General features: G+C 37.6%; 1 protein-coding gene across 1 annotated transcript in view, besides 1 other annotated feature; it reads left to right on the top strand.

Moving 5' to 3' along the window:
* ZFHX3 (zinc finger homeobox 3) overlaps positions 1-17,738 on the top strand; it is a 1,109,046-nt gene that overhangs the window by 306 nt on the left and 1,091,002 nt on the right. The window lies entirely within an intron of this gene.
* Positions 12,681-12,975: a silencer, noted in NCBI's record as "tiled region #15378; HepG2 Repressive non-DNase unmatched - State 12:CtcfO". NCBI's record gives its function as "represses a minimal TATA promoter and a strong SV40 promoter by Sharpr-MPRA in HepG2 cells {active_cell/tissue: HepG2}" and the evidence as "EXISTENCE:reporter gene assay evidence [ECO:0000049][PMID:27701403]".

Here is a 17,738-nt window from a genome sequence, read left to right as displayed (position 1 = left end):
TTTCTTCTCTTTTCTTCCTTCTGTCTCTTTCTGCGTGTGTCTTTCTCTCTCTCCATGCCCCCTCCCTTTTCATATTCTCTCTCTTTCCCTTTACATTCATATGTCCTCTCTCCCCCTCTCTCTCCCTCTCCTTCCTTCTCAGTAGCTGTTTTCTTTATGGATCGGGGAGGGTAGGAGGGTGGGGGAGCTACCTAACTTCTTCCCTGCTTAAGCAATCTGAGAACGGAACTCATGTGAATATGCAAATAGGACTGCCTGGGCCGCGTTGCTGACACGTGTATGTGTGTATCTTTCTCCCCACCTCCCTGTCTTAGCGTCTGATCTTCAACAGATTGCTGTTGTTTCTTGTGATCACCAGCACAGCGTGCTGGAAAGAGAGCTGGGGGGAGAGGTGGGGATTGGAGGGAATGCTGTGGGGCTGGGAGGCAGGAAATCATGACATGATTGCTGTGACTTTTTTATATTAATGTGTGGCTTTTTTCTAGCTCATTTGCATGTCAAAGTGGCAGAGGTGTGAGGGCAGAGATTAGTATGGAGATGACATAATGATGCAATGAATTAAATGTGATCACTTCTCTGAGCGGGGGTGAGGTGGAGGGGGGGAGCGGCGAGGTGGGGTAGGGGGAAGCCAGCAAGACAGACGGAGTGAGAGAGGGAGAGGGGAGCGCCTCTTCTGATCTGCACCACACAGTTGATTGATGTCACCAGCTCACAGAATGCATCTCTTTATTGTGATGATGGTGATGGTGGTGGTGGTGATGCTGATTGCGATGATTACACTTATCGTTAGTGTGAAATTTGAATTTTAAGTGGTCAGTGCCGGAGCCCTAGCGCACGTGATTATTTGGTCCATCAGTGCAAACCCTTTACTGTCAAAATTTAACACGGCTCCACGTTTGCTTTTATTTAAATAGGACGATGTAACGTACAGGAAAGAGAAGATGACTAATTTGTGATATTACGCAGTGGGCTGGGATACCAAGGCTTTTCATTGTAGCTTCAGTTCTGTGTTTGAGTATGCAAAAGAGAAAAAGAAGGGACCAGATTAAAAATATTTTTATTATGACAAAAAATTAAAAAACCGAATCTTTCACTAGATCGGTTGGGTGGCAAAGGTTTCAACCGTTGACAATAAAGAAAATGCAATTTCATCTCTGACATTCAGTGTTATCTCCCTTTAATAACAAAACCAAACGAGAATGATTGCTGAACAAAGCAAATTCTCAGGCGGCTAGTTGCAGGTCTGAATGCAGGAGTAAAAATGGAACATTCGCTGCCCCCTACCCCTTTTGGCTATTTTGTATGCAACACCTGCAAATGTGCACAGAGTCGTTGTAAAAGGGGAAGAAGGGAGAGGTTTTTTTTTGTTGTTTTTTTTTTTTTTGGTTTTTTTTTTACACTCTTACAATTACAAGAAGAAAAAATTTAACAACGAAGTACAAAGGTTTTTAGATGTCATAGATTTATTTATTTTAGAAGTCAAATTCGCTCTGCCTGCCAGTAAGTTTTCTCCGAGTCTTGTCTACTACTTCTTTGGGAGAATGGACTTCCTAGAGTATAGACAAATCAGTATAGAAATTTAGGACTAATTGTTATGTGTGCAATAACCCTGATGATATAAATGAGCACTTAAGAATCCACAGAACATCACTAACATTAATTTATTGAAAAAGAAAATCCAAAGCAACTCCATTAGTTTTTCCCTGTTATTGTTAAGGACTTTAAATGGATTTCCTAATTGGATAATTTTATTCACAAGAATAATACACAAATGGAAAATAAGCCCTGGCTCTGGGGGCGGGGATGGGATTGGCCTACAGAAAGGAGAAGAGTCAGTAGAAGGGTGAGCCGCTGTCAACTTCAAGAAAACCTGCACTCAGGAGAAGGGTGAGGGCACAGAGAATAGCTCCTGTGTGTGAGAATTAACCCATACACTGGGGTCCGGTAGGCAGTGGGTGTTTTAAGCATGTTCAAACAACAGCGCATGAATCCACTTGCCTCCTTTGGATGATACTTAAAACAATGCGGTTCATTATTGCCCCTCTTTGATCATAGGTACTTCACCCTAAGTTTTCCTAAGATGCAACTTCCCATGTTTGTTCGCCTTTTTCCATTCTCTGTCATCACATCGTTGGCATTTTCTGTCCACCAAGTTCATTCTCTGGGAGATGCACTGGGGCTTGCATCACTTCTCTTCCCCTTCCCAGATGAAGGCAGCTGTGCTGACTCTAGCCTGGGTCTCACTGAACACTGTGCACGGATACTATTAATAGAAAAGCATATCGTGTCCCATTCTTACACCCTTTGCCTGCCAAAAACATGGAATGAATCGAGACAGTCAGTGGAAAGTTCTGGAGCGCGGGTCTGGCGCAGCTTCCTTCCTGCACAGCCGCACCTGTGTCCTTATTCCCATCTGTCCCCAGGTAGCACTGTGGCCTCTTCTAAGACCGGCTTTCTCCTTGCCTTAGTCTTCTATGCCAATAAAGAAGAAAGGCAGGGATGAGGATTGTTACTATTGATCTGCCCAAGGGGATCATTAGGCATCCGTATCAATCTACAAATCAGTGGGCCTGTGTTACTAGCTTGGGCAGTCATTGCCAATTTGTTTCTATTAGATGGTGGAGCCTGGAGGTGTTTGATGAGCAGATTGGGTCTTTATCTCAGCACTGGAGAGTATGCGGGCTTGCTACCAGACAGCAGAGGTTTACAGGATTTTTTGGGGGGGTGGTAGGGGGCGGGCGTTGGGGGAACAGGGATCCTTCCCGGTTTTTTTTTAGCCTGAAATCTGTCTGCACCTTAACTAGACCTCCAAGGTGGACCCCAGCCTCTCTGAATTGTTTCTGCTTACACTTAGCCCCCACATCACAGCCGCCAGCCCAGACATCCACCCGGAAAGCTGCCCACAGAAGTATCTTCTTGAGTATTCTTTTGTTATCGTTTTCAGAATCGGCATCTGAACAATTGAAATGTAAACATTTTTCTTTTCCCTCCTCCAGTTCCTGAACTAGGAGCAGTGTATTTACTGTGGAGCAGGTGACATTTTTAGCTGATATTTTCTCTGTAGTTCAATTAGATAAAGTAAAAGTTAAAGCTCCAGGTAATTTTGTTTGGGAAATCCTATTTACCTTTTCTCCTTGAATTGAAATCTAGAAGAAATGTGTTGCCACACCCATCTTTATTATTATTACTATTTTTTTAATCTTTACAAATCATCTTTGTCTCTCATCTTGGGCTTCGAGAGAGCAACAACTATGGCAAAAGCCGTATTCCCTCGCAAGCATGTAGATCTGAAAAATAAAAATTATGTTTCCGTGGGGGGAAGGGGAGGGAAAAAGGATAATGAATGAATGAGCACAATTTATGCCGTTACCGCTGCTAGCATGACATTTCTTCTTCATTATTTTGTGAAAACCTCAACTTCTAACCTAGTTTTACTCATTCCTGACGTGAGCATTATTCAGTACAAATACCTGTCCATTGCCAGGCCTCGGTGATGCTCCTAGAGACATTTGAGCTTTATAGCTTGCGGTAGGGAGAGGAAGACGGAGGTGGGCTGATGCAGATGGAAAGGAGGGGCCCCGTTGCATCCACTTCCTGGGAGCTGTTTTTATCTTGCTGCTGAGTTTGTTACTTGTGAATAATAAACCGTTCCTCCCAGCTGGGAGTGGGTCAAATAGTCCAACCTAAGATGAGGACTTAGCACTTATATCTTCTCTTGAAATTTGCTCATCATTCCAAAGAGGTGGAAAAGTTTGTTTTTTTAAAAAAAATTCAGATTTTAAGTGTTGAAAATGAGATAGAACTCTGGGTGCATTGAACACGAATTTCTAAGTGATTTTGGGCTGTTTTAAGTTACCCAACATACTTTATTAACAAAAAAAAGTGTGTGTGTTACTTTAGAAAACTTTAAAATTATTATTACTATTTATTAGTTTGTGTTTACCTTTTCTCACCTGTGTATTTTTTTTAAATTTTTTGGTTTCTTCCTGGCCCCAAATCCAATTCATCTACTCTAAAGAAGCATTCACTTCATTCCATCTGACAAGAGCCTGCTTTTTTTTGTTGTTGCCGTGGTGTAGTTCACAGAACTTCACAGAAACACATCTGTGTGGAGTACATCATTTTGGAAGTTAAACCATTTTAATCTATCATAAACCAGACATCCAGTTAGCTTTCATCTTTATAGAACATGTATAGAAATCGATTTGGAGTAGACTCAGAGGAATGTTTTAAGAGTTTGTTTTGCAAATATTTATAAACCTTTTTCTTTGGAGCACAGGCCATTTTAGAATGGTCACCATACTATTAAGACTAGAGTTCATTTTGAGGAAGATCCTGCCAAAATCTCTCGTTTGTTTTATCTCGAGGCCTGGGAGTTCAAATTTGCTTTGCCGCCAACACGCTGTCACAGCTAGAGATCTCTGTGAATAAGGTGATATTTTGTTAATTTATTTTATAATCCTTAGCATATATTAATCCTAGCATCTCCCAATTTTATTAATCCTTACCATCGCCCAATCCCAATTTTTTGAAAGGAGAACTTTACAGTGAGTGAAACAAACAACTCAGGTGACCATATGGATTTTTGACTGAAGGCAGAAGGTGGATCTTTTTGCATTCCTCTTCCAGAGAGCAGCGGAAACCCTTCATTTTCTCATCACCTAAGGGCTTATTACTTAAGGATGTGGACAGTATGTTGCAACTTTATAGAAACTTTTAATCAGTGACAGACTGGTCCTTCAGCTAGGACATTTATAGTTCCCAATTCACCTAACCCAGTTGCTAAGGATACTGTGTTGATTTCTTTCACAGTGATAGAAAACATGTTTATTTCTTAATACACTGTTTGTTTATCTCCCCATACATCTCCCTGATTTTCCTTGTTTTATTTTGTGTGGCTTTGCATGTGCCATTTCTCCACAAAACAATTGATACATTCTCCTCACGCTGTTGTGAGGCGAAAAAACTCTCTAGATTAATGGTCAGTGTCGCTCACACGCACATTTGTGTTGTGATACTACAGAGGAGCTGCGAATTACTGACAAGATCTAGAATAATTCCTAATGCTGTCGAAGGCTTCATTTTCTCCTCGGCATGATGGATGAGGCATAAGAAGTGCTTTCTGAGATTATTATGTGCGTCATTCTGTTAAGTGTTATTAAAGTCCGTCTGTCTTAGGCAGCAGAAATATCTTCGCCCTTATTTTGCTCCTGTGTTTAAAAACGGTAACTGCAGATCCCTTTCTTTCAAATGTAAGCTTTTTTGAGGTTATCTGACTGTTAATTTGTGTCCTCAAATAATGGGAATGGTGTTTTTTTTTCCCTCTTAAAATTTGATAATATTAATCCATAAACGAATTCTGGTTTATTTTTAAATATTTAATTTATAGTAAATGCTTTAGAAATGCATTTTATTTTTTAAAAAAGGAAGTAACAGAATTTGAGGTGTAGGTTTCAATCTGTAACTTCAAACAGATTTAATAGTCTTTTATTTTCTGGGCTCCAATTATTTTAAAAGTCATTGACGATTTGTTACCTTGAATGGATTGTGTAAGGTTCAGGATTAATTTGAATTTGATGAATATTACATTGAATTCCTCCCTATAGGCAGATGTATTCAGAGGTGACAGTATACAGGCATATGGATGGAAAGGAAAACTTCGCTCTAACATTTGGTCAGGGAAAGTTTGTTTATAAACTGTACATTTGGAGGGCAAATTTCCCTCAGTCAGGGGGGTACTTACTGCTTTTTGATGGGCGTGGGTGCATCAGGGTCTGGGAGTGAAAGTGACTTGCAGTGTTTAACAGGGCAGTGAAGGGGAAATTACAGATGGCTCATATTATATCTCCAGCAATTTCACTGAAACAGCAGAATTTACTTTTAAGGTTTGTAACCTCCTTTTAAGTCACAGATTTTCCCAAACCCTGTGATAATAAAATACAATCTACTTTACGGAATGCTTTTATTATTATTCAGTAGCCCTTCTCCCATCACCTTTTTTTGTTACTGTTTTTGAACAGTTTGGTGGGAGCATCTTTAGACCCCTGGAGGCTGATCCACGGAAAAATGAAACAAACAAAAAGAAGTAGATCATCACACTTTCTTAGAAAACACCACTTCCCCTTTTCAGAGATTCAGTGAGATCTAGAAAGGCTCATTTTGATACTTCTAATAGAATTATATAAGTATAATGCACAGCTGGGATAAGCTCAGCCATCCACAGCGCAGCTAGTTTTTGAACATTTAATTTTATATTTGAATAATTCTCCAGATCGGGCTATAATCATGAATGTCATATAAAAAGTTTTTTAAAAATAAATTACATTATTTCACAGATGTGCAAATACTTCTGAGAAAAAAATTACATTGATCAGTTTTTAATACCCCCCTGTCTCACCCTTCAGTCAAAGGGAAAAATAGGTTTTTTTCCCATCTTTGTCTTCAGAAAGGTGCTAGATTGTAAACATCTGAAGGAAATGAAAGGGGGTTGGCCAGTCCACCCCAAACTCTTTCCAGATTTTCAATCCTTTCAGCAGCAGACTTCAGTTTTCAGAAAAGAGGGAGGGTCTGGGTGGGGGGAAAGAAAGGGGATGTCTCTGTTTATTATTAAAATTTAAAGCGAAAAGCATTGCTATAACTGGCTAATTTTGAATCTACCAAGTTAGAGGGCTTGAACAACAGGAGGCAACATTTAGGTAATGTGTATTATGCTGATTTGGAAAAGATAAGGCATTTGCAGCTAATTAAGTTCTAATTCTGGGAAGAGGACAATAAACAATAGATGACTATCATTACTTTTATTGTTTCTGAAACAATAGCATGTGGATATTTAATTCAAAAACTATTCAGATAAACAGGGTCATTTTTACTTAGGCAGAAAGATTCTTATTCTTTGTAGAGTGTTTCTGAAGCATAGTCTATTTATTACAGTTTAAATAAAGGCATTTCGGAATGTCTGTGTTTTGCGAATAAAGACTCTGAAAGCCACCACTGAAGCTGTCAACCGTGGTCATTTCGGGAATAGTCATCTGTGGTTGGAAACACCACTGGTACTCAGGGCTGAATGAACAAAGTGCTTTTGAATCCAAAACAAACAATTTAATTAAAAGTCTAAACTGCATGATTTTTCCATGTTTCTTTTGTTAACAGCTCCAACCAAGTCATATGGCATGGCCTCCACACTCCTGTAAGATTTGGGTATTTGATATGTTGTCTTAAAGATATCCTGAAAGTGGAAAAAATTGCATTAGCATTTAGTCCATGGATAATAATTTGGTTAAGCTACAGTTTTTCAGGACTTCTTTATTGGCCCACATAACCAATTTTTTTTTTAACCAAAACACTGAGCATAATATACAAAAATAAAACAAGGTGTTGTATTCAGATCAGTAGGTACAAAATCATAATTGCCCCTTTGTCTTCCAGAAACCATACAGGCCTGATACACAATGAGAAAAATAATCTAAAATGTTGGGTTTATTTTCAATATGCGAGTAGTATAAAAATATGCAAGCTCTGATCACAGTGTGCTGGAAACTACTTCACAAAAATGTGTAACGAAAGCTGTTACTCTATGTGTGGTTCACGTATTGGGACAGCTGTGACAGCCTGGTACAGTTTAACACTTGTTCAATTATAAGAAAAAGAAGGGAACTTGATTTAGATAAGAATCTCAAATAATCCTTGAAATTTCCAAAGTAACTTCTCCTTCTGATCAAAATTGTAGCTTTCTCCAAGTTTCTCCCCTTCTCTTTTCCTATATTTTGTGTCCTACTCACTTATGGAGACCTTGGCAGTAAGAGGCACCCTTGACTTGACCACCTCATCCTTCTAACCTTTGCTTATCTTTAGTTCTCACAGGGGCTGGGTTATAGCTATGTGCAAATTATTTCATATTTTAGGTGTCTTTTTTATAAAAATATTCACTTAGGAAATCCCTAAGGAATCATCTAGTAGCTGGCCACACTTTTCCAAAACATGTCTGTTTGTTTTCAGGTGATTTTTACCGCGCCTTTCTGGCAGATGTATTTTTGTACACGGAAGAAAGGCTGATACTGAGGTTGGTAGCAAACCTTAAGTTCTGAGAATGTGTGCACATGTCATTGTTGTCTGTAGCAACTGATTGATGTGGTTGCATTGTGCGTGTGTGTGATTGTATGTATATATCATGTCCACATTATAAATACATATTCATATACACACACACACACACACACACACACACATATATATGGCTTATGTGCTACTGTGTTTATGCACCAGCTAAACTCATTCCTGGAGTAACAGAATACACAGAGAACATAGGCTGCCAGACGTCAAATTCCTTTTGTTTAGCTGAACTTTGTATTTTCTAAGCTGAGTTGTTTCTGCAGTTTGTTATGTATGTAGAGTTTCATGTGTTAATACTGCATATTTTGAATGACATATTAATAATGTTTTCTTGATGTTCTAAAAAGTCAGCATCTTAATGTCATTCTGAAATTGCCCACCTTAAAAAAAGAAAAACAACAACCAAAAAACCACAAATATCCCAGCCTTAAGCTAATAGAAATCATGTAGTTTTTTTTTTGATGTGAAAGACTATTTTTTTTTTTAAAAAGCTTGACTAAAAATAATAATCTCAGGCATTTCAAAAAAACCCAAATCCCCAGTGTTTATAACCAAGGCCCACTGGTAGACAGCAGGGACAAGTATGTTTGCATCAAGGGAACAAATGACCCACAAGCTTCCTCTTGCAAAGTTGCCTGTTTTGGCTTCATGATTCCCATTAACTTTACATTATTTAAGTCTTTGAAAGTGGATGGAATAAACAAAATGCTGAACTTTTTTTGAGTAGTTGTTTCGGGACACTTGGCACCCAAGAAGCTTAAAAAAAAGGTCTGTCCATTAAGAATCTGGCTGGAAAGGGGAAAATGGGTGAAAGCTATCTTTTTTCATTCAATCGTGGTTGATGTGGGTAATTTAAAGTAGGATCCTGGAATTTCCAGACCCTGGCTCTATCTTCTAAGTCATTTCTGTACCTGGAATAAAATGTTGCTGTAGAAATTATTGACATAATAGTCCCCATGAGGACTCAGAGCCATCAAAGTGAAATCTCACAATAAATTCAGAGGCCACCTGGAGAACCGCGGTTAAAGAGCTTTTTAGAGATGGGAAAAAAAAAACTTTAAAAGCTTAATTCTTCTTAAATATAAGTTCACTGATCATGTTTCTGTACCACTTTCCTAGAGTTTAGTTCTTTACTTTTAGCTTTGTTAAATAATCCTTTAAAGCTTTTTTGACAGCAAAAATGCTGCATTTTGTATAGATGACATCACTAGTCCAACTCCAGCCACACTGAAAGCCAAGAGGTTACCAAGCAATAAACCTCAGTCGGGATTTCTGCGTGTCTCGGGGCATAAAAGCCTTAAAACGTGAGGTGGGTCTTACTGATCTGTGGGACAAACAGTCCTACTGTAATACCAGAAACATTATTGATCAGTTTGGGGGGAACATTTTTTTAAAAGCTAATTAGTCTTTGCCGAGTGGAATTACTAATGCCGTTTTACACTTAGCACTTAGCGGTGCTTTTCATCTTCAAAGTGCTTTGAAAACATTAACTAATTAATCATTAGCTAATTTAGCAACTGACGATAAAAGTTAAGAGACTAAGAGACGGCAGACTCCACGAGCGTTTTCTGCACAGAAATCCCTCTATATGAAGCAAAGGCAGGGAAACTGGAGGGGAGCTGCGGGGCAGGTCACCAGGTGCTAGCAATTTTAGGGGACACTGCTCAGGTAATATCTGCAGAGAACAGAAAGAAAATCCTTTAGATACACACTCTTGGACAATCTTAACAGATAATAGCCAGCTTCTTTTTTAACTTTATATATACATACGCACACACACATATATATCCCATCTCCATCTAAAATGTATATGTGTATGTATACACACACACACACATATAGCACCAACTAAGTAGTGGGAACCCTAGCAAATATCCAGAATATATCAAGATGCTGACAGTTAAAAGTGTGGTTAATAACATCAATATTTCCTAAACAGATAAAAATGGAACAGTGAAGCTATAGACACTTTCTCTTTGGACTCCAAGGGCCTGCTTAGAGTAGCAGTAACCATGGGCAGAGTGGGGGGGGGGGGCAGAGAGAGAGAGAGAGAGAGAGAGAGTGTGTGTGTGTGTGTGTGTGAGTGTGATCATTACCAGCAAACCTTCAAACCTTCCTGGGTCCAATACGACATAATCCATGAATTCTGCCCTGGAAATCAACTTAGTTTAGGTAAACCTGATGCAGAAACATAAGAGAATTCTCCTGCATGTCGTGACAGACCGAATTCTTTCCAGTGGGGCTTGTCTGCTCCGCACTGCAGCCCCATCCATTATGTGAAAATGGTTCCTTGTTTCTCTGAGATATCAGCGGACCGCACAAGCTGAGTTTCTTTAAAAATACAGAGACAGTTCATCTATAGACTTATTCTGAATGAGTGAGTATGTGTGGTCCAGCTCATTTAAAGAAAGAAACACTCCACAAAAGCCACCAGTCTTATAGAAGGTGCTACCAGGGACTGCATATTTGAAGAGCGGATGTAGTACTTTGTATTCAGTTCCTTCCCAATGCCACATACCCTTTGCCTGTGACATGGAAAAGTAAGATTTCAGAATATTAGAAAATGTCAAGTGTTAAAAATGTGTTCATACTCTTCTCGCCTATATCATCAAAGGGTTGGTAAATAAGGGGTGCAGAGACATGTCGTTTACATTTTTCAAGGTATTTTGGAAAGATTACTATCCGACTGAAAACTTTTCACCAAGCAAACTTTGATATTCTTGGTAGATGTTAAAAAGCAACAGAAATAAATAGACCAGGCACATCTAATACAGTAGATCAGTTACTGCAAAATTATTTTGTGTTCTGTTGGAGACATTTAAATGGAGACTGCACACACCTTCTGGGATGAGACTTGAGAGATTTTACTCTTAGATAGAAGCATTTCAGGTTAATACAGAGCTACACTGCTCTAAGCCTGAACTTCACTACAATTTTAACTTCACTAGCCCTCTTGAATATAAGGCCTGTGTCTCCCCAGACTCTAACTTCTTTTCTTACTTTTATCCCAATCTCATCTTTTCTTACAGAGTGATAATTTTTAAAAGCTCCACATTGAAGTTGCAAATTACGTCAAATCCTGAAATTAAAATGTTGTACTTTCCTGTTCAGATTTCCTGTTATAGGGAAAAAAAGAGTTCTCATTTAAAGATGACCTATTTTTCAGTTTATTATTTGCCTTTGAATAGTGAAGCCCCTTAATTTAAACACTTTGAATAAAATAGCTCCGCAGCCCTCTCTCCCATCCCCCATCTAAACCTCTCTGCCTGCCGGAAGATTTCATTTTGATGGCAAAATTTTTCCCTTGCTTTTTGGGGCAAATCTGACAGCGACCTTCCATGAGCCAACCTCTTCCTTTTGTTTCCTCCGGAGAACTTTCAAGGGAGGCCTTTGGAAAGGTCAGGAATGCTCATCAGCCCTGAAGTAATGGAACGTGTAGAATGGAGATTGTTACTCTCCCATTCACGCCGATTCCACCATGTTCTTAGTTCCTTTAAAAATGTTGTTTCACACACCACCATGAATCAAAGCCAGATAGAGACTGGTGAGAACTAATGTATATAAAATTGAAATTAGGATCCTATAACAGTTGTTATCAGTAGGGTGTAATTTTGCCCCCCTCCTTCCCCAGGGGACATCTAACAATGTCTGGAGACCTTGTTGATTGCTTTAACTGTGTGTGTGTGTGTGGGTGCGCCAGTGGCAAGTAGTGGGTAGAAGCCAGGGACACTGCTCACCATCCTACAGTAATTATCTGGCCCCAAATGTCAACACTGTGGAGGCTGAGAATCCCCGCTGTTTACTTACACTTATACCTATACATGGAAAATATTGGCAGCAGCTTTTAGGCAGGAACTTACTCTCTTTTTGCTAGTACTAGTGAAAACAAATTCTTATTTAATTACAGTGATAGTCCCTTCTTGCTTCTTAACTATTGCCTGCCTTAACTGGAATTGCTTCATCTAGAGAGTGGAAAATGGTGACCCTACCTCCTTCCCATTTCTCATTTTAAAAATCACAGGGCGAACCAACCAGAATGAAAGGGAAGCGTGCAAATGAGCAAAGGACATGCCGGTGGAAATGTGGGAATGGCTTACAAAACCTCGGTGAATTCTTATTCTTAAAAGGGACCTTAGATTCTCCATCCCATACCGCATAAGAACATATAAAAAGAGACTTTGTGCTTATGAAGCCGGGGGCTTGATCTGTGTCTGCTTTTTTTTTTTTTTTTCTCCACCTGCTCCTGACCACGATGGTAGTCTTTCCTATTGTGATTTTAGGTATTAAAAAAGAAAAAAAAAACCTTTTGCAGAGCAAATGCTAACACAAACTGCTTGCGAAAAATCACAAGCTAGAGATTGCAGAAAAGGACCCCAAGGTCGCTCGCTGCTGGTGATTATTTTTCTGGGTGTTGTTAACTTGGTCCTCAAGAGAAGTTGGAAGAAGCTAAAAAAGAGAGGCTTTCGCTGGAAATTAAGAAGCAAAATGCTGGGAGGAGATCTCAGAGGAAGAACATAATGATCTATAATAGGAACTGATGTTTCCACAACTATATATATATATATATATATATATCTTATCTTTTTTGAACAGTGAAGGATGTAGGACTGGATGTCTTTCCAGTTACATCTATCAGCCTTTTAAACTAGCTCTGCTGTTTCAAGTGACGTTGAACTTCACTTTTCCAGTAGATGGCATTGTAGTCTGTCCAGTGGAGAAGAGCTTCCTTGAACCAATAAGACTTAATTTTTTTTTCTTCTGAGCAGCTTCCTTGATAATGTCCCCCCTCCCTCTTGCATTAAATACTAGCTTGAGGTTATAAATAACAATCTTGTTTTCGCTAGTTACCTGTAACTCTCAAAAGATTTGACTTAAGAAAAAGAAAAAAAAAGAAACAGTAGATAATTTAATATCCCTATATCAAATGAAAAAAATATAGACTAGATCTGGGAGTATGGCATATGGATAAAATATGCAACTGTTTCAAAATGAGAGCTGATTCTGGTCTTCCTAAGTCTACTTTTCCTATTAATCCATTATGCTTATACCATTTTAGTGTCGTTGTGAAGAGAAGGCTTAAAAAAGTTTTACTCTGTGTCAAAGATTTTTCAGATACAATAGGTTCTTCTTGGCTGAACCCCTAACAAACTTTGCATCTTCTTTATTAACTGTTTTCAAACTCTCTTTATAAAAAGTAATCACCTCTCGGTTTCATGTATATTACCTGTGGGATGAACAATTGCATAATTTTTGGTGAATTATAAATATGATTTTCATGATATTCTGTTTCCTTCATTTAAAACCATTAAACCTAAAAATAATAGCACCAATCGATTGAACCAGCAAGAGTTGTCATTGCTTGATGTTAGAAAAAGGTGCCAATATGTATTTTATTATTATTACTATTATTTTGCTTAGTATTAAATGAGGGTCCCTCACTTTAAGTAGTCAGAATATTACACTGGGTTTCAACCAAAAAGAGAAATGATGGTATGGAGAAGATATATATATGTATATATATTTCTAAAAATCTCATGATGAAGCTTTCTCTGTTAAATATCTTTTTTAAATAAAGAGATTGGATATGTTAACCATTAGAATCAAAATGGATTTTCTTTTTTGGGGGGAGTTGAACTTTGAAGATGAAATCACCATGTTTGTGTATGTCTTTGTGTGTGTTTTAATAGAATCTGAGTTGTCCCTGAAGAATCCTTTTTATCTGTGAGGCTTCCATGTTCTCTTTTTAAAAATATTTTGCTAAAACTTTAATTTTTTTCCTCCGAACAAAATCCTCTTTCCACTGAATATAATCTATATTTCCCTGATAGTCATTTGGTAATAATATTTGACTTCCATTTATCAATACTGTTTCTTTCTATTATTTTTAATCACAAGATTATGAGCTGTGTATTTAGTTATTATTTAAGCTAAATGGTGTCTTTGGCTGTTAGCTCAAAAAGATAATGTCCCAATATCAGGATTAAGTTTTCATCTGTATCAACTGGCTTAAAAATACCCAACTTGATTCCTTTTGAATTAACTGAGTCTTATTTTATTATATTTTTTCAATATCACCAATCACCATAGTAACCACTAGCTGTCAGTTCAGCTTCTGACATTTTTCTCATTTGGTAAGATTTCAGAATTGCCATCCTCCCTGCCAACATGTCATGAACAAGAAAAAAAAATTGCATGAAGAATCTAATGGGTGTCTGGTCTGATTGTCCTCATTTGTGGCAGGAAAGACAAAAACTGATGAATTGTGAAATGTATTCAGAGGGTTCAAGGAAGCAAGTGCCTGGGACCCCCCCCCGACCTAACCCCCCGAACCCAACCATCTCGTTTCTTTTTGTTATGCTTGATGCACCATACATGCTTATTGTGACACTTGGGTTTGTAGAAATTTAAGATTAACAATTTTTACATTCACCCTGCTGATCTCTCTCCCTTACCTTGTTGTTGTTGTTTTTTTTTTTTGAAAGTCATCATTAAAAATAAAGTTACCAGGGCTCGTATTTAGCATGATTTCTCACTCGTATCATAGATTTTTTAGTAAGTCCAAATTGGCTTCACAATATTTAAGATGTGCTTGCAAATGTACAACTCTGCGTGGGAGCCAGATGTGGACCGTGAACCCACACGGTGGGTTTTGTGTCTGTGTGTGAAGGTGGTGGAGAAAGGACATTAGACCCATTTGAAAAAAGAAACAAAGCTCATTCTAGACCTCTTCTAGGGGGTTGTTTTACATGGTTAAGAAAAGTAAGAGAAATGCAGTCTTTTCTAGTTCTTTCCAGCATTCTGGTTTAACAAATGAGTAGGGAAAAAAGCCTATGCTAATGAATTCCTACCCCACATATCCAACTGGGGAGTTGATTAAAGGAACTATTTCTATACTCAAGTATTTTCTCCCTTTTGGTTTCCAGACTTATTTTAGCAAAAAGCAAAAAAAGAAAAGTGATAATGTACTTTAGCTAATGTAAACATACAAATTATTGAATATATGTTACTGATAGGATACACACATATACCCCATATGTGGATCTTATCACTGACACTTAGGCATGACATTTAATATGCATGTGGTCTGAATACAAGTAAATGTATTAAATATATTAGCCTGTGTCTGCATGCATACAGATGGTCATCGTGTTAACATACTCTTTAGCTGCCTAGGTGTACATGGGTGTGGTAAAACTTACGTGTTTTTCCAGAGGTTTTGTTTTTGAGCTAGATCAGTCTTAGAGGATATTTTTTTCATGACTGTCTACAAATTCAGACTCAGCAGCAGGAACTCATTCCAGAAACATAAACCTGATTTGATAAGCAGCTGCAGAATTCAGTGCCTCTTTACTAACGGGTGGACAACCCCAGGATCACGCATGCAGGGATTGGGATGTTTCCATTTCATGTTTCATACGCTGTGGCTTTAGCTCCTTTTAAAAAATTCAGACACTGGACGGTTTGGGGTCGTGTTGTAGAATTTATTGCAGATTTTTATGTACCAGTGTATTTAAATATTACTATGGCTAAGAAGGAATGGAAAGGCCCAGTGAAAAATATCTCCATTAAGGACCAAAGTCTCTTAATTTAAAAAGCAAAATCATGTGTATATATTTGATGCCATTTATATGAATATTAAAATATTTAATGTTCGGTGTAGGTGGATTGATAACATGGTTTTGTCATTGATGATTAATGGTGTGCCAGAAATATACATGCGTAACTGCATACATATGTATCTGGCTATCAGATGTGTGTAAAATAAGCAATCCGGTTCATCATGCTTTTGTTATTTGATTCTTTTTAAATTTAAGCACTTTGGAGAAACCAAATGAATAATGCCAGAATGTTTGCTGCTATTATTATGAACAAATATAACCCTTGAGAAATAACTAGAAAATTGATATCGAATCTCAGGGTATATTTCAAACACATATTTGGAAGTGGAAAAATAGGAAGTATTTTTTGAATACTGGTAAATAAATTTACCTCATAAAAGAAAAAAGCCAGAAAAATATAAATCTTTTAATAAGAAATAATAATATTTTTATATGCTGTATTTTAGAATGAACGGTGTAAACAGAATATACTTTAATGCCTTTATGCTTGATAAGATTTATAACAATAATCAGCAAAACCTTGTAACTGTGTTTGCACCTTACGTGCCTTGAAGCCATTGGATCTTGCAGTTAATTGTATAAATTCCATACACTATGGGAAATCATGATGTATCATTTATATTCAGCATGTGTCATGTGTATAAATATTAAAATATATTAGCCAAAAATGGCTGATTATTCCTCAGACATTTTGCGATAAATCTTATCTTTTTATGGGTTGGGTGAGGGAAACTAAATATTTTATGTTATTTGGAAATACTCCTTAAACAACCTAGATTTATTATTAACATTTTAAACATTTATAACTGCCTTAATGTATTCAGAGTCTTAGCTCACTTAACAGCTATATACCCGGGAAAAGTTCTTTCTGTATGCAGCATGTACTAGCAGTTGAGACTTCACCGTTCTTCAATGTAGTGAATATACAACTGCCTCTGTTGCCAACTGTATGTATATAAAATACCCATTTGTGGATATGTTCAGAGTTATATGCCATTGCTATTGCAGACCAAGATAGGAATAGCATAGTATTTGTGTGCCCAGGGATGTTTTGAAATCTATATCATTGTAATCCTCATCTTTATAAAAATTCTTTAATCTACCCTAAACAGAAAGGCAGGATAATATGTGAATTTTTGTATGTGAATATTCAGTTTTCTTTTCACTGTGTACTTGAGATATTTTTTAAACGTGGGTGGTGTATATTCAAACACAAACAGGTAAGTCAAATATACAAAGGTTTGATGTAATAGCAAATGTAAAAAATTAGGGTGTTACATATTTATTGAGACTGATAGAGAGGCATAATGAATAAACAAACACAGGATTGAACTGTTTTACAAATGTATTTGGCAACTGCCCGTAGCAGTGAGTGTGTACATTTAGAGGGGAGGAAATGTCAGAACAGAGTCTTGTAAATACATGCAGCTGGAAAGAATAAAATAAAAAATGATGACTAGTGCTGACAGGCAGACTTGGGGTGTATGATATACTTTGTTCATTTGATTCTTAGAACTCAGTCGGGGGTTAAATTGGAATCCAGACATCAAAGAATTCTTCCACCAGACCCAAATTTTGCCCGTATAATTTTTTTTCTTACAGTTGTCATAATTTTAGCTAATTTCACAGTGCAATAAATTTTTACCGTTTGAAGTCTTTTTTCTTCCTAAATATGCACACAGTATGTATATAATATATCTTATGTGAACTCCCCACACACTTGATACTGGGTACACCTACACTTAAAAATGATAGGCACACACATATGTAGATTACATATGTGCCTATAATATGAATGTTCACAGACAGAGGAAGAAATGGCGTAGGCAGCTATTGCATTCATCTGACCCTAATCCTGAGATATTGAAGAGAAAAGGCTGACTGTTTTCAGTAGCAATACCTTTGTTTCTTTTTTTTTTCTTCTTACTTTTTTTTCCTCTCCTGACTGTTGTGTCTGAAAATGTTGGAGGCATGTGGTGCTGCAAATTTGGAGCTTTTGCAGATTTCTGT

Source organism: Homo sapiens, chromosome 16, assembly GCF_000001405.40.
Source record: "Homo sapiens chromosome 16, GRCh38.p14 Primary Assembly".
Classification (NCBI taxonomy): Eukaryota; Metazoa; Chordata; class Mammalia; order Primates; family Hominidae; genus Homo; species Homo sapiens.
The sequence above is the reverse complement of the archived record's forward strand: the minus strand, read 5'-3'. Positions and strand labels throughout refer to the sequence as shown.